We start from the raw sequence: 23,007 nt of genomic DNA, 5'->3' as shown, positions 1-23,007 counted from the left end.
ATTCTTTTTTGTATTTTTAGTAGAGACGGGGTTTTGGCATGTTGGCCAGGCTGGTCTGGAACTCCTGACCTCAGGTGATCCACCCACCTTGGCCTCCCAAAGTGTTGGGATTACAGGCGTGAGCCATCACATCCAGCCAAACTATAGTTGTTACTGTTACTTTTACCTAATGCTCCCCTATAGCTCACTGGGATATTCTCATTCTCTCTCTCTGTCTGTCTCTGTCTCTCTCTCTTTCTCTCTCTCTCTCTCTCTCTCTCTCTCACACACACACACACACACACACACACACACACACACACACACACCCAAGGCTAACCTCCAGGCTGCCCTCAGTCACTGACCTACGTGGCCATCCTGTCACCCTCTGACCCCTCTATCCAGGCAGGCTGGGACTGGGTCATGTGTCCAGCATTCCTTCTGCCAAGAATGCCTCCCCCCAACCTCATCACAGTCCCAGCACCCCTTTCCTTCAAGTCCCAGCTCTAGTTTTACTCCGCCAGGACCCCGCCTGACTGATTCCAGCCTTTCTGCTCTGTGTGGAGACCTCTGGGTGACTCACTGCCCCTCAGCACTGCCTTGGAATTCGTGACTCTGTCAATGAGAAAGCCTCTTCCTTCTTCCTCCTCAGTCTCTTAAAGTTGAAAAAAAAAAGCATTTTTCAGGCAGACCTGGGGCTCCTGAAATCGACCTGAGATTCCTGTGCCCCCCCTCACCCCAGCACCTGTAGTCACTCATCCCACCTCTCCCCAGGGCTGGGAACAGGCAGGACTGAGAGACCAGGATGTAGGGGCCAGTCACCCAGATGGAAAGAAAAGGTAATCTACCAATCGGGAGAGGCTGGCAGGACCCCTGCACTACTGGGGTCCCAGGAACAGCTTTGCTGAGGGATGGGGAAGCAGAGAGGCCTGCCAGGAGCTGAGAGTCCTGGTGTGGGTCCCTGAAGCCCACCTGCAGAGACTGGTGTCAAGGGAGGGCCTGTAGCCTGTAGGACAGTGGCTCGGGTAAGGGGAGAGGCAGGACCCAGCACTCTTGCCTTTGCTGGGAAGGAAGACTCAGGCTTGTCCTGTGAGCCCCCACAGGTGGTGTGGGAACCCACTGAGAGCATGGGAGAAGCTGAGGGAAGCAGGCACCACCCAGCATCGGGAAACTCTCCCTAACCATTCAAAACACCCAGTGGCCTTGTCAGGGGGGAGTTCTCTACCCAGCAAAGGAGAGGGGTAGGCAGAGGCTGGACCACCGCTGCTTACGGTGGGCTAGGAGGATCCCTGCCTTGGGTGGGCAAGGGACCAGGATTCTTCTCAAGTTCTTCCAGGCTGTGAGAGTTAGTGCTAAAATTCAGTCAGCGATGTCATGATCTAGAAATCTGGTTCTAAAATTCTGTCACATTAAAATTCTGAAATGCCACAATTTTTTCCTGATTCTGAGATTTTAAATATGATTCTAATTTTCTTTTTTCTTTTTTTTTTTTTTTGAGACAGAGTCTTGCTCTGTCGCCCAGGCTGGAGAGCAGTGGCGTGATCTCGGCTCACTCCGAGCTCTGCCTCCCGGGTTCACACCATTCTCCTGCCTCAGCCTCCCGAGTAGCTCGGACTACAGGCGCCCGCCACCACGCCCGGCTAATTTTTTGTATTTTTAGCAGAGACGGGGTTTCACCATGTTTGCCAGGATGGTCTCGATCTCCTGACCTTGTGATCCGCCTGCCTCGGCCTCCCAAAGTGCTGGGATTACAGGCTTGAGCCACCACACCTGGCCTAATTTTCTAAAACTGCTTAATTCGTTAGAAATGTTGGCTGGGCACAGTGGCTCACGCCTGTAATCCCAGCACTTTGGGAGGCCGAGGCGGGTGGATCACGAGGTCAGGAGTTCAAGACCAGCCTGGCCAACATGGCCAACATGGCAAAACCCTGTCTCTACTAAAAATATAAAAATTAGCCGAGTGTGGTGGTGGGCGCCTGTAATCCCAGCTACTTGGGAGGCTGAGGCAGGAGAATCACTTGAACCCTTGAGGTAGAGGTTGCAGTGAGCCAAGATCGTACCACTGCACTCCAGCCTGGGCGACAGAGCAAGACTCCGTCTCAAGAAAAAAAAAAAGAAATATAATGCAAGCCACATATGAACAGTCACATTTTCTAGTAACCACATTTTAAAAAGTAAAAAGAAACAAGTGAAATTAAATTTAGACATATATTTTGGCTGGGCAAGGTGGCCTACATCTGTAATCCCAGCACTTTGGGAAGCCGAGGTGAGAAGGTTGCTTGAGTCCAGGTGTTTGAGACCAACCTGGGCAACATAGCAAGACACTGTCTCTACAAAAAATTAATTAAAAAAAATTAGCCCAGCATGGTGTGAGCATTTGTAGTTCCAGTTATTCAGAGCCTGAGGCAGAAGGATCGCATGAGCCCAGGGGTTTGAGGCTGCAGTGAGCTGTGATTGTGTCATTGCATTTCAACCTGGGTGACAGATCAAAACCCTGTCTCTAAAAAAAATAAATACACAAAAAACAAGGGCTGGGTACCTTGGCCCATGCCTGTAATTTCAGCACTTTGGGAGGCCAAGGCAGAAGGATCACTTGAGCCCAGGAGTTTGAAACCAGTCTGGGCAACATAGTGAGGTTATATGTTGATATATAGCCTCATTATTTTAAATAATGACTCCTCTCATTATTTCAAAAAGTAAAGACCAGGTGTGGTGGCTCATGCCTGTAATTCCAGCACTTTGGGAGGCCGAGGCAGGTGGATCACCTGAGGTGATCTGAGGTGGCTGAGTCTGAGACCAGCCTGGTCAACATGATGAAACCCCATCTCTACTAAAAATACAAAAATTAGCCGGGCTTGGTAGCCCTCGCCTGTAATCCAAGCTACTCGGGAGGCTGAGGCAGGAGAATTGCTTGAAACCAGGAGGCGGGGATTGCAGTGAGCCGAGATCACGCCATTGCACTCCAGCCTGGGTGACAAGAGCGAAACTCTGTCTCAAAAATAAATAAAATAAAATAAAAGCCAGCCATGGTGGCTCACGCCTGTAACCCCAGCACTTTGGGAGGCCGAGGCAAGCAGATCACGAGGTCAGGAGTTCAAGACCAGCCTGGCCAACATGGTGAAACCCCGTCTCTACTAAAAATACAAAAAATTAGCCGGGCGTGGTGGCATGCGCCTATAGTCAGGGGGCTGAGGCAGGAGAATGGCTTGAACCCAGGAAGCAGAGGTTGCAGTGAGCTGAGATCACCCCCACTGCACTCAGCCTGGGTGACAGAGCAAGACTCCATCTCAAAAATAAATAGATAAGAAATATATTTTATTTGGTTGGGCACAGTGGGTGGCTAATGCCTATAATCCCAGCACTTTGGGAGGCCAAGGCAGGAGGACCACTTGAGCCCAGGAGTTTGAGACCAGGCTGGGCAACATAGTGAGACATTGTCTCCACAAAAAATAAATAAAATTAGTGGGGTGTGGTGGTGTGTGCTTGCGGTCTCAGCTACTCAGGAGACTGAGGTGGGAGGATTGCTTGAGAACCAGAGGTCAAGGCTACAATAAGCCAAGATTGTGCCACTGCATTCCTGGGCGACAGAGCGAGATCCCATCTCAATAAATAAATACATACATACATACATACATAAAATTTTAAAAATAAGAAATATATTGTATTAAACCAACATACCCAAAATATCATTTTGACATGTAATTAATATAACGAAATGATTAATGAGATGTTTAAATTCTTTCTTTTGTGCTGAGTCTTCCAAATCCACTGTGTATTCTACTTAAAGCACATCTCAACTTGGACTAGTCACATTCTCAGTGCTCTATGACCACATGTGGCTAGCGGCTGCAGTGCTGGACAGCATAGTTTAGAAACCTTAAATCCTATGACTCACTTTTGTAAAATTCTAGGATGCTATGCCTCTGAGATTCTCGAATTCCACAGCATACCAAGGTTCTGAAATGCTATAACTGTGCTTCCACCAGATTAAAATGTTTCATGAACCACATTGTCTTTATTCAGTCTATCGGCGTTGGGCATTTGGGTTGGTTCCATGTCTTTGTTATTGTGAATAGTGCTGCAATAAACATACATGTGCATGTATCTTTAAAATAGAACGATTAAAAGAATTTTTTTTTTTTTTGAGATGGAGTTTCTGTCACCCAGGCTGGAGTGCAATGGTGCTATCTCGGCTCACTGCAACATCCGCTTCCTGGGTTCAAGTGATTCTTCTTCCTCAGCCTCCCGAGTAGCTGAGATTACAGGTGCACACCACCAGGCCTGGCTAATTTTTGTATTTTCATTAGAGACAGGGTTTCACCATGTTGATCAGGCCAGTCTTAAACTCCTGACCTCAGGTGATCCGCCTGCCTCGGCCTCCCAAAGTGCTGGGATTACAGGTGTGAGCCATCGCGCCTGGCCTATAATAGAATCATTTATATTCCTTTGGGTATATGCCCAGTAATGGGATTGCTGGGTCAAACGGTATTTCTGGTTCTAGATCCTTGAGGATGATTCCTGTCTTCCACAATGGTTGAACTAATTTACATTCCCACCAACAGTGTAAAAGCGTTATGAGATCATGTCCTTTGCAGGAACATGGATGAAGCTGGAAGCCATCATCCTCAGCAAACTAATACAGGAACAGAAAACCAAACACCACATGTTCTCACTCATAAGTGCGAGTTGAACAATGAGAATACATGGACCCAGAGAGGGGAAAAACACACACTGGGACCTGTAGGTGGGGTTTGGGAGGTCGGGGGAGGGAGAGCATCAGGACAAATTGCTAATGCATGTGGGGCTTAAAACCTAGGTGACAGGTTGATAGGTGCAGCAAACCACCATGGCACACGTATACCTATGTAACAAAGCAGGTTACATAGGTATACATGTTCTACACATGTATCCCAGAACTTAAAGTAAAAATAAACAAAAAAATTTAAAAATAATAAAATGTTTCATGAGCCCCAAATCTGCATTTGAAGGCTTCTACCCACACATGTTTTGTATGGAAAGAAATCCAGATCCCTGTACAGCCTGAGGGGTGGGGCGGGAGCAAGGAGCCCTCCTTGGCTGCCCCCACCATCTGGCCGGCCTGTGGCATAGGGGATGGGCATGCTCCTTGCAGAACTACCTCTCCTACCATCCCTCCAGCATGGCACCTCTCCATCCATGTGTGCCTGGAAGTGAGGGTCCTGCCTTCCAGTCCTCCTGGGAAGGGGGTGTGCCCCTGCCTCCTTCCCTTGGTTTCTGTCCACTCTGGGGCATCTGGGGGCAGCAGTGGCAGATGGAGCAGGGGAGTCAAAATCCCAGATGGAATCTCCTGAGGATGGAACTGATCTCCATTTGCTGAAGGCTGGATCCCTCAGGAGCCTGGGGAGGGCAGAAGTCAGAGGCCCGCGGTCTGGGGCTTGGAGAGCCAGAAGGGCTCTCTGAGGGCGTGTGATGGCGCCTTTCACAGTGCAGATGGGGAAACTGAGACCCAAGAACAGAAGGGGTTTCCCAAATTAGGCACAAGGTGAATGTCATGCTCTGCCAGAAGGAATGTCCCCTGGGTAGCCACAGGCTTCTCTTCCTACTCCCAAACTCCCTCTCCCATCACCACTTGTGAGGAAGTCGAGGCACAAACCCAGCATGGTGGACGTCAGGGAGGCTGCAGGAGGGCCCCCCCATAGCTATTGTGTCCAGGTGGGTGACTTTTCAGCTTTGGGATATGTCTTCGTGTCTTATGGTTTGGGCTGCTATAACAAAATAGACTGGGTGGTTTTTAAACAACATAAATTATTTCTCACCATTCTATTTTTTTTCTTTTCTTCTGCTTTTGAGACAGAGTCTTGCTCTGTCGCCCAGGCTGGAGTGCAGTGGTGCAATCTCGGCTCACTACAACCTCCACCTCCTGGGTTCAAGCGATTCTTGTGCCTCAGCCTCCCGAGTAGCTGGGATTAAAGGTGTGCATTACCACACCTAGCTAAATTTTTTTTTTTTTTTTTTTTTTTTGAGACGGAGTCTTGATCTGTGGCCCAGGCTGGAATGCAATGGCATGATCTTGGCTCGCTGCAACTTCTGCCTCCCGGGTTCACGCGATTCTCCTGTCTCAGCCTCCTGAGTAGCTGGGATTACAGGCACCCGCCACCATGCCTGGCTAATTTTTGTATTTTTAGTAGAGATGGGGTTTCACCATGTTGGTCAGGCTGGTCTCGAACTCCTGACCTCAAGTGATCTGCCCGCCTCAGCCTCCCAAAGTGCTGGGATTACAAGTGTAAGCCACTGCACCCAGCCTGTTTCTCACCATTCTAAAGGCTGGGAAGTCTGAGATCAAGGCTATGGCAGATTCAGTGTCTGGTGAGGGCTGGCTTCCCCATTTGTAGATGGCACCCTCTCACTGCATCCTCACATGGTGGAAGGGGTGAATGAGTTCCCTTGGGCCTATTCTATACGAGCACTAATCCCACTTATGAGGGCTCTGCCCTTGTGACCTAATCACCTCCCAAAGACCTCACCTTTTAGTATCATCACCTTGGGAGTTAGGATTTTAACATGGATTTAGGAGGCACACAAACATTCACACCATAGCAGGATGCTCATGTCAGGCTCAGAAACCTCCTGGTTAGAACCTTGCCCCAGGCTCACCCTTGACCCGGAACCATGGGTCCTGCAGAGGGTCTGGGGAATGGGTACTTGGCCACAGGCAGCAGCCTGGGTGAGATGTGATGAAGGCGGAGCTAAGTGCTGAGGGTCTCAATCAAAAATAATCAGCTTCCTTCTACATCTGCTCTGCTCTCCAGCTCTGGATTCCACTCCAAAGCCCTTTTGTAGCCACAGTCCCATTTGAACCTCACAAGCACCCAGGAGGAAAAGAAGGCAGGAGGACTTGACATCAGCACGTAAACTCCCAGCCAGAGGGCCAGTGTGAGAACTTCGCTACTGTTCCTCAACTCCATGCCATGCCTCTTCCTTTTTTTCTTTTTTTTTAGACACGGTCTTACTCTGCCACCTAGACTGGAGTACAGTGGTGCCATCATAGCTCACTGCAGCCTCGACCTCCTGCGCTCAAGCAATCCTCCCACCTCAGCCTCCCAAGTAATTGAGACTATAGACATAAGCCACCATACCCAGCAATTTTTGAAAATTTTTGTAGAGACAGGGTCTCACTATGTTGCCCAGGCTGGTCTTGAACTCCTGGGCTTCAGCAATGCTCCTATCTCAGCCTTCCAAAGTGTTGGGATTATAGACATGAACCACCATGCCTGGCCTATTCCCATTTTTACAGATGGGGAAACTGAGGCCCAGAGAGGGGCTATGACTTGTCCCAGGCTACAGAGCCAGAGGGAGGCCAAGTCTAAACTCCTGAGAGTCATAGGCATCACCTATTGAGGAAGCCCCCCACCTTGCTGCACTCCCAGGCACCCAGACCCTCGGCAGCCGAAGAGACAAACATCAGAGGTCACTGACAGCCACATTTTCCACGGGATGCTTCCAGGCTGGGTTTCCCCTCGGAGGAAGGCCCCAAGGTTGTTCCGCATGGTTAGGAGAACTGGGAAGGAAATGACAGAGATCCTGCCACAGTGGGCAACAGAAAACAACCTGGCCTTTGGCCTCTAGGGATCTGGCTCCGCCAAAGTCTGGTTTGGGGAGGGAGATGGGAGGCACAGCAGGAAGGCAGGCCTGGAATCTAGATTTGAAAAAGCACAAGCTTTGGAGTGAGATGGCCTGGATTCAAGTCTCTAGGGCTGCTACTGAGTGGCTATGTGGCCCCGTGTCCGTGGCTCCACCTGGGCTCCCTCCTCTACCTGGGCAATGCCCATTTCTGGTAAGAATCTGAGTGTGTATAAGCTAAGCCTATTGTTGCTGAATAAATGCTAGTTCTCACTCAAATGCCCCTCTGGGAAGCAATCAGGCCCTAGGGCCCCCCATCTGCCACTCTTTGCTGCCATAAATATGCTCCATAAATATTTATTGAATAAACAAATGAATAAATGAATGCTGCCTGCCCAAAATATAAGGGAAGGCTTTGAACCCATCTATCAGGAGACACAGCAGACTCTGACAGAACTTGCTGGGTGGCCTCATTTTTACAAGAATATATAATAATAACTAACCTTTCTAAAGCACTCACTACCTATCAGGCTTTGCTGGGAACTGCAGAGCACTCGGTTTTCCCAGCAGCACTATCAGGAGCTATGACTATTATCCCCGGGCTCCAGATTAGGAACACTGAGGCATGGAGAGGCCACAGAACCCTGAGGTCACACTGCTAGTTGGTGGCAGAGCCTAGACTTGGACTCAAGCAGCCTGACCCCAGAGCCCCTGTTCCTTGCTCTGGGATGGCTCCTGGGGCTTTTATTTTATTTTTATTTTTATTCTATTTAAGATGGAGTCTTGCCCTGTTGCCAAGGCTGGAGTGCAGTGGCATGATCTCGGCTCACTGCAACCTCCGCCTCCTGGGTTCAAGCGATTCTCCTGCCTCAGCCCCCCGAGTAGCTTGGATTACAGGCACCCATCACCACGGCTGGCTAATTTTTGTAATTTTTAGTAAAGACAGGGTTTCACCATGTTGGCCAGGCTGGTCTTGAACTCTTGACCTCAAGAGATTCACCAGCCTTGGCCTCCCAAAGTGCCGGGATTACAGGCGTGAGCCACCGCACCCAGCTCTGGGGGTTTTTAGCCTCCCCTTCCCGGCTTCCCGCTTTCTCGGCCAAGGACTCCTATGGGGTGAGACTCCCTTTCTCAGGTTGGTGCTGCTTAGGGCTTCCCAGCGGTCTTAGAGGCTCCTGCAAATCAGCCTTGGGGAGCGTATGTGGGAGATGAAGTGGGGGCTCTGCCCAGCCCGAGACTGTTGCTCAGGTCCTTTTTCAGAGACTAATTCTCTGCAGCTTTCTGGTTGCTTCCTGCCTCAGAGTGAGGCAGGAAGCAAGGCCAACAGGGATTTTGGCTCCAGCTCCTTTGTCCTCACTCAGCTCATCCTCCCCCTCCCCTACTCCAACTTCTGGATCAGCCTCTTTTTTGCCTAACCAGGGACCTTGAACTTAATGTTCACTCCCAGGCCGACTTCCCAGTGTGAGAGCAGCAACTCAGGGCTGGGAATCCAGAGACTGCCAAGAACTGAAGGGTGCTTTTCCTTCCGGGCGGGCAGATTTGGAGAAAGCCTGCCCTGAGATGGGAGAGATAGGGGTGGGTCTGGAATGTGCAAGCGGCCCACACCTGCACATCAATTTACAAAGAAGCTCCACGGTGATCCAGTGATCCTGTTGGTTCATCCCCAACCACCCCGGTTAGAGATGGGTTAGCTTGTTATCATCCCAATTGAACAGAAGAGGAAACAGGCTCAGGGGGATTTAGTGACCTGTTCATGACTATGTAGACATTTAGGGGCAAAAGCAAATGTTTACCCAATTCTGCAAAGATTGTATAATAATACTTTTTTTTTTTGTGGAGTCTTGCACTATTGCCCAGGCTGGAGTGCAGTGGCGCGATCTCGACTAATCCTGCCGCCACGCCTGGCTAATTTTTGTATTTTTAGTAGAGACGGGGTTTCATCATGTTGGCCAGGCTGGTCTCGAACTCCTGACCTCAGGTGATTCACCCGCCTCGGCCTCCCAAAGTGCTGGGATTACAAGTGTGAGCCACTGTGCCCAGCCATAATACTATTATTATTGCAAATATTTTCTAAGTTCTGACTGTGCCAAAAGCTTTCCTCTTATTACCTCGTTTAATCCTCTCAACAACTCTAAGAAGTAGTGATCCCTATTTTACAGATGAGGGAACTAACTGAGGCTCAGAGAAGCAAATCACCTGCATAAAGTACACTTAGTCACATCCACTAATCAGAATGTGAAAGCCAGATTTGAACTCAAGTTTGTCTGGCTCTAAAGTCTGAGGCTTCACAGGCAAGATTCTACCTCGGGTGGAGGAGTTATTGTTTGCCAATGCAGGGGGTGGGGTAAGCCTGACTTTACCCACCTTTTCATGATGCTGCTTCAGACCTGGTGCACACAGCCCTGGGAACCCTGCAGGCAGTGGGCCCGGAAGAATCTAACAGATACTGCAGAATTTGGGGGCACTCTGGGGCCATGTCTGAATGTGACCCCTCTCTGCACAGCAGCAGCCCCTGGTCTAGGCAAAGGTGGCCCTCTGACAGCCTCACAGATGAACTCTGCAAAAGCAGATTCATTCATTCACTCAACACCAGCCAAGAAGCCTTCACATCTCTACTCACAGACACCCAGTTATTTTGCCAACCTCCCAACCACGGCGAGCTACATAATTTGCAGGGCCCAAGTGCAAAATAAAAATGCAGAAGCCTTTGTTCAACCACTATTAAGAATTTCAGGGCCTGGTGCAGTGGCTCACACCTGTAATCCCAGCACTTTGGGAGGCCAAGGCAGGCAGATCACCTGAGGTCTGGAGTTCAAGACCAGCCTGGCCAACATACTGAAACTCCATCTCTACTAAAAATACAAAACTTAGCTGGGCATGGTGGTATGGGCCTGCAGTCCCAGCTACTCAGAAGCCTGAAGCAGGAGAATCGCTCAAACCTGGGAGGCGGAGGTTGCAGTGAGCAGAGAAAACGCCACTGCACTCACCAGCCTGGGAGACACAGCGAGACTCCGTCTCAAAAAAAAAAAAAAAAAAAAAAAAAAGAATTTCAGGACAGCAACCACAGTGCATTAACCAAGCATGGGCCCTGTGCAACTGTAGAGGTCACAGGCTCGTGGTGCCAGCCCTGTCCCCACCTCATCTCCCTTCTCCCTCTGGTTCTCCTCCTTACTCCTGGCCACTTTATCCTCCTTTCACATCCTCATGCTAAGCTCAGGGCTTTTGCAAAGACTGTTCTTCCTGTCAGGAACCCTTTCCCAATCTTCCCTCATAACTTAGTCCTTATGATTCAGGTCTCTGCTGAAATGTCACCTCCCTGGTGCCCCAGCCTAAAGTAGCCACCCACATAGCTCTCCATCCTGTCTGCAATTTATTCCCTTTATAGTCTGCACCACACTCTGTGACCTTATGTCTATCTGTTAGTTTACTGTTTACTGTCCATCTTCCCTGCTAGGATGTTGACTTGGGCAGGCATGGCCCACATCTGTCCTATTCAGCGCCGAATCCTCAGCGCCCAACCCAGTGCTTGGCTCACAGTATGTGTTCAATAATTATTTGTGGCCAGGTGTGGTGGCTCACACCTGTAATCCTAGCACTTTGGGAGGCCGAGGTGGGTGGATCATTTGAGGTCAGGAGTTCGAGACCAGCCTGGCCAACATGGTGAAACCCCGCCTCTAATAAAAATACAAAAATTAGCCAGTAGTGGCAGGCGCCTGCAGTCCCAGCTACTCGGGAGGCTGAAGCAGGAGAATCGCTTGAACCTGGGAGTTGGAGGTTGCAGTGAGCCAAGATTGCACCACTGGACTCCAGCCTAGGGGGTAGAGAGAGACTCTGTCTCAAAAAAATAAATAAAATAATAATAATTATTATTTATAAAACAATGAATGACTGAATGAATGAATGAATGGACACCAACATCCTAACAACATTCTCTCACCCTTATGTCTCTCCCTCAGCAACCCAGATGAACACAGGTGTTCCCCGAATGTCCTGGTACCTAAGACACCCCAATAGACAGCAAGGGAACCGAGAGAGGCAGGCAGATCCCAAGGCCTTGAAACAAGGACAGATGGAAGTGGCAAGGCCTAGAGAAGAGGAGAAAAGAAAGAAGGGTCGGGCCCAGTGGCTCACGCCTGTAATCCCAGCACTTTGGGAAGCTGAGGCAGGAGGATTGCTTGAGCCCAGGAGTTCAAGATCAGCCTGGGCAACATGGTGAAACCACATCTCTACAAATTAAAAAAGAGAAAAATAAAAAAGGAGGAGGGAGAGAGGAAGGAAAAAGGAGCCCACAGGAAGGAGAGAAGAGGTAGACAAAGAGGGGAGAACTTGTTGAGCGTGGTGATAATCCCATTTCTTCTCCTTATTAGTGAAACTAATAATTACTATTAATACCTGGCCCCTCCCTGGCCCTTTCATCCAGGTGGGTGGGGAGGTTTTGAAGATGAAAGTCTGGGGGGCCTCTCTAGATGCAGGTTTCGGGGATTCACAACTACTAATTAAGCTTGGCAGCCCCTCTAGTTCCCTCCCCCACCCCCGGGGATGCTGCACCAGCAGACTCAATGCCTTTCCAGGTGGGACACAGCAGGGAGCTGCTCCCTGGGCTGGGCCTCCTCCTGAGAGGTGTTGAGTAGCTGCAGTTGTGGGGGATGGGGCTGTCAGGCAAGACAGTCATGAGGAGGTGCCGGAAAGAGGAACCTCACACCAGGTGGCTGAGACTCAGGAGCCCTGCCCCCAGCTGAAATTACAGCCCCATCCCTGAGGCTGCCCCTCATCCCACCCCAGGGTCTGTGTGTCTCTGGACCCTGCCAGATGGTAGTGGGGGAATGGTGCCAAAGGGAGAGGAGGCTCCAACCAGACAAAGAGACAGAGCCAGCATATCCAGCTCCTCCGTGTGGCCCCAGGGGCACCGAGTCCTGCTATCTGGCATCCTCAGGGTCTATTTTGTTCCACCTCCCCTCAAAGAGGCCTCCTCTCTCTAGTGGCATCAGCCAGCCTGTCCTGCACACCTCCGGTGATGAGGCCTTCACTACCTGCCAGACTGTGGGCTGTGTGAAGGGATCTCATCCAATCCCTTGACATAAAATACAACCTAGAGGCTCCTGAGGTTACATCAGCAGTCCTGAACTTTCCAATAAGCTCCAACTGCTTGCCCCATCCTTCTACTAGGATATCACACAGAAGGCTCCAAAAATAGCAGGGCCTGAGCCTGATTCCAGCCTCCACCCAAGTTGTGACCTCCCCCTGGCTCTCCCCACCTTGGTTAATAGCCCCATCATCCACCCGTTGCTCAAGCCTAGAACCTACAATCATCCTCACCCCTCCATCCAATTCATCTGAAAATTCTACAGATTCTGCTTCCAAAGTATCTCTCAGATCTGACCATTGTTCTCCATCTTCACAGCTGCCATCGCGGTCTGAGCCCCCGTCACCTCTCACCAGCGTGACCGTCTCCACCTCCTCCTGCTCCCTCTCTTGCTCACCTTCAGCCAATTCTCCAAAGCCAGAGTAGACTTTCGTTTATTTTTTAAATTTATTTTATTTTTATTTTATTTATTTTATTTTTATTTTTTGTAAAGACAAGGTCTTGCTTGCTAAGTTGCCCAGTCTGGACTCAAACTCTTGGGCTCAAGCGATCCTCCCGCCTCAGCCTTCCAAAGTGCTGGGATTACAGGTGCAAGCCATCACTCCTGGCCCAGAGTGGACTTCTAAAGACAAATCAGAACATGTGGCTCCCTGCTTAAAGCTCTTCACTGCCTTCCCATGCAATCAGAATATAATCTACAGTTGGCCGGGCGCAGTGGCTCACGCCTGTAATCCTAACAGTTTGGGAGCCCGGAGCGGGTGGATCATTTGAGGTCAGGAGTTTGAGACCAGCCTGGCCAACATGGTGAAACCCTGTCTCTACTAAAAATACAAAAATTAGCCGGGCGTGGTGGCACGTGCCTGTAATCCCAGCTACCTGGGAGGCAGAGGTTGCAGAGAGCCGAGATCGCGCCACTGCACTCCAGCCTGGGCGACTGAGCAGAACTGTTTCAAAATAATAATAATAATAATAATAATAATAATAATAATAACAACAACAACAACAACAACAACAACAACGATAATAATAAATCTACACTCCTTGACAAGGCAGGGCCTAGCAGGCCCAGAGGATCTGGCCCCTGCCCTCAGGGACAGCCCTAACACTCTTCTCTCTCCTGGCCCCAGCCCCGCCTCCTTGCAGTTCCTCGGGCTCCTCCCAATTTTGGCAGCCTGTGCACTGCTGTCCTCTCTGCCCCTAAGGCTGCTCCTCCAGCCCTCCTCATGGCTGCACCTCGCACGCTTCAGGTCTCAGCTTCCATATCTCCTCCTGAGCCCTCCCTGTGCCTGAGCCCTGCCCACCTCGAGAGTGAGCCTACCTTGGAATCTTCTCAGGTGTGCGTATTTCCTTCATAGCCCTTACCACAATCTCTAATAATAAAGTTGTTGGCAGGCTTATCTGTATAACGCCTGGCTGTCTCCCCATTAGGTTGTCCCTTCCGTGGGGAAGGAGACCCATGTCTGTGTTATCCGTTGCTTTATCGCTCACCAGTGCCTGGCACACAGTAGGTGCTCAATAAACCCGCTGAATGAATAAACGACTCGGGATCCATGCCCTGGCACTGCCAGCCATTGGGCTGCCCTGGCACTGCCCTTCCCTTTGGATGGACTGAGCGCAGGCCCTCTGCGAGCTGGCCTGCGGCAGGCAGGGCACACAGAGGCCGGGTGCCATCTTTGTCCACTTCACCACCCTGAACCAGCTGAGTGACCTGGGCGCAGCCCTGACCTCATCCTACTTAAAGCTTCCCGCTGAGTAAAATGAGAATAATAATCTGAGCTCCTGGGGTGTGATGGGACACAAAGGGAGAATGTACATCAAGGCCGTCGTCACATCACAACCACATCCTAGGACGTCCCAACCATCTTCTGGGCTTAGACACCTCACCCTGCGCCTTCCGCCCACCCTCCACCCTCCACCCTCCACCCTCCACCCTCCACCCTCCACCCTCCACCCTCCACGTGTACCTGCCCCGCCGAGGCGGGTCCTTCCCCTGCAGCACGGAGATCTGGCGCCATCTAGCGGGCACTTCGGGAAGAGCGGGCGTTCCCCGCCCCTGTATTCCACGCACCGTGGGTGGGGCCGCACCCCGGGACCCCGCCCCGACATTCCTCACTGAGCAGAGTTGGGCCCAGGATCAAACCGAGGATCTGCCTCCGTTGGGTCAGAGCGAGGGAGACCTCTCACCCACCGCCCCCAAGGCCCAGGCCCCAACCTTTGATCTTACCTCCCACCCACCCCCTCCCCTCAGCACAGAGACTTCTCCCGAATCCCTGAATGATCCCAGGTCCCCTTTGATTCAAGACCTTTCCACGTGCTGTTTCGTGAGCTGGGAGTTTTCTTTTTCTTTTCTTTTTTTTTTTTTTTTTTTTTTTTTTGAGACAGAGTCTTGCTCTGTCGCCCAGGCTGGAGTGCAGTGGCACGATCTCGGCTCACTGCAAGCTCCGCCTCCCGGGTTGACGCCGTTCTCCTGCCTCAGCCTCCTGAGTAGCTGGGACTACAGGCGTCCGCCACCACGCCTGGCTAATTTTTTTATTTTTTTAGTAGAGACGGGGTTTCACCATGTTAGCCAGGATGGTCTCGATCTCCTGACCTCGTGATCCACCCGCCTTGGCCTCCCAAAGTGCTGGGATTACAGGCGTGAGCCACCGCGCCCGGCCTGAGCTGGGAGTTTTCTCCCACCCTCTTCTTCCTGTCCTGGCTGTCTCCTACTCCCATTTTGGGCCCTCCAGCAAGGCCCCTGAGCAAGCCAGAGCCCTCCGTATCCCCCGTTCCTTACTTTGTCCTTGTTTCTTGCCCATATTCCCTGCTAGACAAAGCCCCTTGGCAGCAGGCCGTGACACGGTCACTGTGTGGCGAGTGCTGAGATGACAGGTCCTGGGGCACACAGGGGCTCCCATCAGTTGCTCGCAGACCGCGTGTGAGTCCTGTGAGCACGGGGAGCAGGTGAATTACAGCCCTGGAGGACGAAGCCTGCCGGTCTCTAGAGGGGCATTGCTACAGAGGGAGCCATCTCCAGGCCTTTTGTAGCCCCTCCTCCCCTGGACCCTGGAGGGTGTGCACCTGGCCTAATCCCCAACACACACACCGCCGCTCTCCCTTGTGTGCCACACTTACACACGCAGACTAGCGCTCATGTGTGTTCTGGGGCTCAGACCAGCAATAGACCCATGACTCCACGACAGCTTCACAGCAGCCAACACTTTTGAGAAGGTCCTCCCTCCAAGTCCCAGGACCACCTGGGCCACAGTTGGTGTCTGATTCCTGGCTGTGTGTCCTGGTGAGCAAACTCACCCTCTCTGAGCCACAGCTTCTTCCCACCCTTCCTCTGTTGCATTTGCAAACTACCCTTCAAGGGGAGGAGGGGATAGAGCTCCTGGACAAATGACAGTATGAGCTGCTGCCGAGAATGGGGAGCACGGGGCCTTCCAGGTTGAGCTTGAGGACCCAGGAAAGGGCTTGGCTTCTGCTGCTGCAGGCTAATTCCTTGCTCTTCCTTCATCCAATCAACAGATATTTACAAAACACCTGTACCTGAGGTTACACGAATTGGGCTCTGGAGTCAGACTGCTTGGGCCCAGATCCTGGTGCCCCACTTAGAGCTGTTGACCTTTTCCTTGTGTCCTCAGTTATAACGGGGGGGATTAAACATTTTCTACCTCCTGTGGTTGTTGAGAGGAAGCTGCTTGCTTTCCACTTCCGGAATGAGAACTTTCTCCAGCTCCTGCTGCCACATTTGCCCCCACCGTCTTCCTTCCTCATTAGCACCTGAGGTGAGCTGTCCACATTCCTGCCTAAAGCCGATGCCTCCACATGCGCAGCAGAGGCCTTTACCTATTGCCTGCTCAATGTCAGGGCTCCAGCATGTTTTTCCTTCACTTCTAGACTATTCCCAGCAGTGTTAAAATATCTGTTATTGATGCAACCTTAAAAAAGGAAAAAAAAGAACCTCTTGATCTCACATTCCCATTCTCCATCTGCCCCCTGGCACACCTCTGCAGAAAAACTCAAGAGCTGTCTATGAAGGAACTGGGCATGGTGGCTCACACCTGTAATCCCAGCATTTTGGAAGGCCGAGGTGGGAGGACCACTTGAGCCCAGGAGGTCAAGACCAACCTGGGCAACTTAGGGAGACTCAGTATTTAAAGAAAAATGAGGGCCAGGCACGGTGGCTCATGCCTGTAATCCTAGCACTTTGGGAGGCCGAGGCGGGCGAATCACTTGAGGTCAGGAATTCGAGACCAGCCTGGCCAACATGGTGAAACCTCATCTCTACTAAAAATACAAAAATTAGCCAGGTGTGTGGTGCAAACCTCTAATCCCAGCTATACGGAGGCTGAGGCATGAAAATCGCTTGAACCTGGGAGGCAGAGGTTGCACTCAAGCCTGGGCAACAGAGTGAGACTCTGTCTCAAAAATAACAAAATTTTAAAAATTAAAAAAATAATAATAATTGGGCCAGGCATGCTGGCTCACACCTGTAATCCCAGCACTTTGGGAGGCCAAGGTGGGCAGATCATGAGGTCAAGAAATTGAGACCATCCTGGCCAACATGGTGAAACCCCTTCTCTACTAAAAATACAAAAATTAGCTGGGTGTGGTGGCGTGTGCCTGTAATCCCAGCTACTCAGGAGGCTGAGGCACGGGAATTACTTGAACCCAGGAGGTGGAGATTGCAGTGAGCTGAGATCACACCACTGCACTCCAGCCTGGTAACAGAGAGGGACTCTATCTTAAAATAAATAAATAAATAAATAAATAAATAAATAAATATTGGAAAGAGCTGTCCAAGAGGTGTGGACCTCCCTCTCTTACTCCATTCACACTTTTGCACTCCCCCCACCCAGCCCCCCAATCAAGCTGCTGTTGTCAAAGTCCCCAGTATTTCATGTTGCTACATCCAACGGTCATCCTTAGCCCTTGTTATCCTTGACCTCTAAGCGCGATGGCACAGGTGCACACTCCCTTCTGCTTGATTGCATTTCTCCAGTTGCCTTCTGGATGTGCCCTCTCCTGGTCTCCTTTCATTTCTGTTCATGGCTTATTTTCTTGGCTCTCTCCTTCTCTTATCCCCATGCTCTCAACGCTCAGTCCTTAGCCTCTTCTTTATCTACACTCAGCCCCTTGGCGGGACTCGTGATTAAAATCAGTCTTGTGATTTTAAATACCATCTGTATGCTGGAGACTCCCAAATTTACACCTCCAGCCCTGATCCACTTCTCAATTCCAGATTCATCTATCTCAGCTGTCATTCTGACAGCTCCACTCGGGTATGTAATAAACAGCTCAAACTCAGGCCTACGAGTGGGCATCTGATCTTCCCCTAAAAACCTCCTCCACCCTCTGCCTTCCCTACCCCAGCTGAGGGCAACTCCATCCTTCTGGTTCCTCCAGCCATAAATGCTAGAATCATCTTTGACAACACTCTTTTCCCATGCCCCATGTCTAGTTTAATCTATCAGTAAATCCTGTTGGATCCATTTTCTCATTTTCTTTTCTTTTTCTTTTTTTTTTTTTTTTTTTTTGAGACAGAGTCTCACTCTGTCACCCAGGCTGGAGTGCAGTGGTACGATTTCAATCTCTGCCTCCTGGGTTCCAGCGATTCTCATGCCTCAGCCTCCCGAGTAGCTGGGAGTATGGGTGCGCGCTACCATGCCCAGATAATTTTTGTATTTTTTGTAGAGATGGGGTTTTGCCATGTTAGCTAGGCTGATCTCGAACTCCTGACCTCAATTGATCCACCCACCTTGGCCTCCCAAAGTGCTGGGATTATAGGCGTGAGCCACTGCACTCGGCCACCATTTTCACTTGATCTTAGCCAAAAGGCCGAGAAGCTATCGGACCCCATTTTCAAAATAAAACCAAATATTAGCGACTTCTTTCTACCTCTACTGATGCCTCCTCCGTCTTAGCTACCAATGTCTTTCACTTGCTTTATTGCAAAAGCCTCCTAACCGTCATCCCTGCTTCTACTTTTGCCCCTCACCCCACCCCACAGAGCACCCAGAGTGCACCTATTAAAACAGAAGTCAGTTCTGTCACCCTCTGCTTAAAACCTTCCAGTGGCTCCACTCAGTAAAAGCCAATGAACTCTAAGGCCTACATGGTCTACACAATCTCTCTCCACCCCCAGTGACCTCTCGTCACATCTCCTCACCTGCCTGCCCTGGCTCACCCCATACCAGCCACCCTGGCCTCCTTGCTGTTGCTAGAACATGCCAGTCATACTCCCGCCTCTAGGCTTTGCACATACTGCTCCCTCTGCCCATAACCATCTTCCCTTAGATACCTGCAAGGCTGGCTCCCTCTCCCACCTTGTGGGGAAAAGAGAGATCAGACCATTACTGTGTCTGTGTAGAAAGAAGTAGACATAAGAGACTCCATTTTGTTCTGTACTAAGAAAAATTTTTCTGCCTTGAGATGCTATTAATCTGTAACCCTACCCCCAACCCTGTGCTCGCAGAAACATGTGCTGTGTCGACTCAAGGTTTAATGGATTTAGGGCTATGCAGGATGTGCTTTGTTAAACAAATGCTTGAAGGCAGCATGCTTCTTGAAAGTCATCATCAATCCCTAATCTCAAGTACCCAGGGACACAAAACACTGCGGAAGGCTGCAGGGACCTCTGCCTAGGAAAGCCAGATATTGTCCAAGTTCTCCCCATGTGATAGTCTGAAATATGGCCTTGTGGGAAGGGAAAGACCTGACCGTCCCCCAGCCTGATACCCGTAAAGGGTCTGTGCTGAGGAGGATTAGTAAAAGAGGAAGGCCTCTTTGCAGTTGAGGTAAGAGGAAGGCATCTGTTTCCTGCTCGTCCCTGGGCAATGGAATGTCTCGTTGTAAAACGCAATTGTATATTTCATCTACTGAGATAGGAGAAAACCGCCTTAGGGCTGGAGGTGAGACATGCTGGCGGCAATACTGCTCTTTAATGCACCGAGATGTTTATGTATGTGCACATCAAAGCACAGCACCTTTTTCTTAACCTTGTTTATGACACAGAGACATTTGTTCACACGTTTTCCTGCTGACCCTCTCCCCACTATTACCCTATTGTCCTGCCACATCCCTCTCTCCAAGATGGTAGAGATAATGATCAATAAATACTGAAGGAACTCAGAGACCGGTGTCATCGTGGGCCCTCCATATGCTGAGCGCCAGTCCCCTGGCACTCTTTCTCTATACTTTGTCTCTGTGTCTCTTTCTTTTCTCAGTCTCTCATCCCACCTGACGAGAAACACCCACAGGTGTGGAGGGGCAGGCCACCCCTTCACCACCTCACAGCTCTGCTCAAATCACTCCTCAGCAAGGCTGCCTGGCCCTCTCTGTTTAATTCAGCCACCCACCCCACCCCTTTCCTCAGACCTTCAGTACCCTTCGCCCAGCCTGACTTTTTCTTTCTTCTTCTTCTTCTTTTTTTTTCTTTGAGATGGAGTTTCACTCTTGTCGCCCAGGCTGGAGTGCAACAGCGCGGTCTCAGCTCACTGCAACCTCTGCCTCCCAGGTTCAAGCTATTCTCGTGCTTCAGCCTCCCAAGTAGCTGGGATTACAGGCACCTGCCACCACCCCCAGCTAATTTTTGTATGTTTAGTAGCGACGGGGTTTCACCATGTTGGCCAGGTTGGTCTCAAACTCCTGACCTCAGGTGATCTGCCCACCTGAGCCATGCAAGGTGCTGGGATTACAGGTGTGAGCCACCACACCTGGCCAACTTTTTCTTCTTTCCACAGGACTGACCACTTTCTAACAAAATAGGAAGCTTACATAGACATTATGTCTGCTCTTCCTTCCAGAATGTAGACTTTGAGAGGGTAGGGACCATTGTTTTTGTCACTGATGTATCCCAAGTATTTACAATGTCAGACACATCCTAGGTGCTCAGTGAGTGCTCCCTGAGTGAGTGTGTGAGCTCTGAGAGGGGAGGGTAAGTACACCCCTGTGCTGGCAGTGTTGACAGCGCAGGGGTGCGGTGGGGTGGGGAACGCAGACATGGCAACAGTGAGGTGAGGCCCCACGGAAAGTGGCTGTGCTGCCCCTCCAGCCTCAGCCCCCATTCCTCTTCCCTTATTCACAACACCCCAGTACTACTGGCCATTTTTTAATTCCTTGAGTTCTCCAAACACCTACCCACTTCAGGGCCTTTGCATATTCTATTCTCCCTGCCCAGACCATTCTTCACACCTTCACGTAGCTAATTCCTACTCTACTTTCAAGTCTCAGTTCAAATGCCATGATTGTATCTCAGTGCCTGACAAAGAGTAAGCGTCCAATAAAGGTACAGGTTTTTGGCTGGGTGCGGTGGCTCATGCCTGTAATCCTAGCACTTTGGGAGGCCGAGGCTGGTGGATCACCTGAGGTCAGGAGTTCAAGATCAGCCTGGACAACATGGTGAAACCCCGTCTCTACTAAAAATACAAAAAATTAGCCAGGTGTGGTGAAGGGCGCCTGTAATCCCAACTACTTGGGAGGCTGAGGCAGGAGAATTGCTCGAACCCGGGAGGAGGAGGTTGTGGTGAGCTGAGATCGTGCGACTGCACTCCAGCCTGGGCGACAGAGTGAGACTCTGTCTCAAAACACAAAAGATACAGGTTTTCATTACACATTTTAAAAATATATATATTGGGTCTCACTATCGCCCAGGCTGGAGTGCAGTGGTGTGATCACAGCTCACTGCAGCCTTCACCTCCCAGGATCAGGTGATCCTCCCAAGTAGCTGGGATTATAGGTGCAGGTCACCATACCTGGTTAATTTTTCTATTTGTTGTAGAGAAGGTGTTTCACCATGTTGCCCAGACTGGTCTCCAACTCCTGAGCTCAAGTGATCCTCCTGCCTCAGTCTCCCACAGTGTTGGAATTATAGGCGTGAGCCACTGAGCCCTGAAGTTTTCAACATACATTTAAAAATGTACTATTATCGGCCAGGCGCGGTGGCTCACATCTGTAATCTCAGCACTTTGGAAGACCGCGGGGGCTGGATCACCTGAGGTCAGGAGTTCGAAATCAGCCTGGGCCAACATGGTGAAACCCCGTCTCTACTAAAAATACAAAAAAAAAAAAAAAAAACTACCCGGGTGTGGTGGTGTGTGCCTGTAGTCCCAGCTACTAGGGAGGCTGAGGCAGGGGAAGGCAACAGTGAGACTCTGTCTCAAAAAAAAAAAAAAAAATGAATAAAAATAAAAATATGCTATTATCATCCCATTTCACAGATGAGAAAACTGAAGCCCAGAGAGGTTACAATTTTTGCCCAAAGAACCATAGCTAATAACTGCAGAAACAATAAATATGTTGATTAAATAAAGTGGAGTTTGAAAGCAGTGACTTTGATGGTTTCTGGGATAAAGATAGGCTTCCCTGTGGAAAAATTTGTCCTGAGGTGATTGTGTGGGCTGCCTTCAGCCATAAGATCAAGGCTTGCTCCCTCCATGAAGCCACATGAGGTTTGGAGGTCTGTTTAATACAACTCTTAATCAAAGCGGAACTCACTCCACAATACTCCAGTCTCTGCTAACATACTGGGAAGCTCATTAAAACAAAAAAGCCCTCTCCTTCAAAAAATACAGACATTTCACAGAAGAGATGCAAATGGTTAAAACAATCCGTAAAGAGATGTCTGACGTCACTCATCATCGAAGAAATGCAATGCAACGAGAAGGTATGTTGAGGCTGGGTGCATTGGCTCACGCCTATAATGCCAGCCCTTTGGGAGACCGAGGCGGGTGGATCACCTGAGGCAGGAGTTCGAGACCAGCCTGGACAACATGGTGAAACCCCGTCTCTACTAAAAATACAAAAATTAGCCGGGTGTGGTGGCGCACACCTGTAATCCCAGCTACTCGGGAGATGAGGCAGGAGAATCACTTGAACCCAGGAGGCGGAGCTTGCAGTGAGCCAAGATGGCGTCACTGCACTCCAGCCTGGGCAACAAGAGCCAGACTCCGTCTCAAAAAAAAAAAGAAGGTATGTTGAGTTTTTCAGTTTAGCAGAATAAATTTTTTTTTTTTTTGAGACAGGGTCTCGCTGTGTCACCCAGGCTGGAGCCACGGGATATATTTATATATTTAAAATATATTTATAATATTTATATAGTATGTAATACAAAAATACTATATATATTCCATATAAATATTACATATAGTACATAGATAAAATGTATCTACCGCTTGCCTAGCTCTGTGAGGTACACTTCTTGGCCCTTCCCCACAGCTCCGACATATTCTCCCAAGCCTTCAAGGTCCTTCAATATTGTTATTAGAGGCTGGGCACGGTGGCTCACGCCTGTAATCCCAGCACTTTGGGAGGCCGAGGCAGGTGGATCACGAGGTCAGAAAATCCAGACCACCCTAGTCAAC

General features: G+C 50.1%; 7 annotated features.

Annotated features, from left to right (window-relative positions):
- Positions 8,793 to 9,518: an enhancer, noted in NCBI's record as "H3K27ac-H3K4me1 hESC enhancer chr5:149843737-149844462 (GRCh37/hg19 assembly coordinates)". NCBI's record gives its function as "activates a minimal SCP1, AML or CMV promoter by ChIP-STARR-seq in naive H9 embryonic stem cells {active_cell/tissue: H9 hESC(naive)}" and the evidence as "EXISTENCE:reporter gene assay evidence [ECO:0000049][PMID:30033119]".
- Positions 12,308 to 12,627: an enhancer, noted in NCBI's record as "active region_23419". NCBI's record gives its function as "activates an Ori minimal core promoter by ATAC-STARR-seq in GM12878 lymphoblastoid cells {active_cell/tissue: GM12878}" and the evidence as "EXISTENCE:reporter gene assay evidence [ECO:0000049][PMID:35858748]".
- Positions 12,308 to 13,047: a biological region, named in NCBI's record as "H3K27ac-H3K4me1 hESC enhancer GRCh37_chr5:149840208-149840834".
- Positions 12,421 to 13,047: an enhancer, noted in NCBI's record as "H3K27ac-H3K4me1 hESC enhancer chr5:149840208-149840834 (GRCh37/hg19 assembly coordinates)". NCBI's record gives its function as "activates a minimal SCP1, AML or CMV promoter by ChIP-STARR-seq in primed H9 embryonic stem cells {active_cell/tissue: H9 hESC(primed)}" and the evidence as "EXISTENCE:reporter gene assay evidence [ECO:0000049][PMID:30033119]".
- Positions 13,817 to 13,916: an enhancer, noted in NCBI's record as "active region_23418". NCBI's record gives its function as "activates an Ori minimal core promoter by ATAC-STARR-seq in GM12878 lymphoblastoid cells {active_cell/tissue: GM12878}" and the evidence as "EXISTENCE:reporter gene assay evidence [ECO:0000049][PMID:35858748]".
- Positions 14,721 to 14,790: a silencer, noted in NCBI's record as "silent region_16510". NCBI's record gives its function as "represses an Ori minimal core promoter by ATAC-STARR-seq in GM12878 lymphoblastoid cells {active_cell/tissue: GM12878}" and the evidence as "EXISTENCE:reporter gene assay evidence [ECO:0000049][PMID:35858748]".
- Positions 19,350 to 19,550: a silencer, noted in NCBI's record as "peak5538 fragment used in MPRA reporter construct". NCBI's record gives its function as "represses an SCP1 promoter by STARR-seq MPRAs in K562 erythroleukemia cells {active_cell/tissue: K562}" and the evidence as "EXISTENCE:reporter gene assay evidence [ECO:0000049][PMID:32103011]".

The sequence above is a fragment of the Homo sapiens genome, chromosome 5 (genome assembly GCF_000001405.40).
Source record: "Homo sapiens chromosome 5, GRCh38.p14 Primary Assembly".
Lineage (NCBI taxonomy): Eukaryota > Metazoa > Chordata > Mammalia > Primates > Hominidae > Homo > Homo sapiens.
Note: the sequence above shows the minus strand (reverse complement) of the source record. Positions and strands in the feature narration are given on the sequence as shown.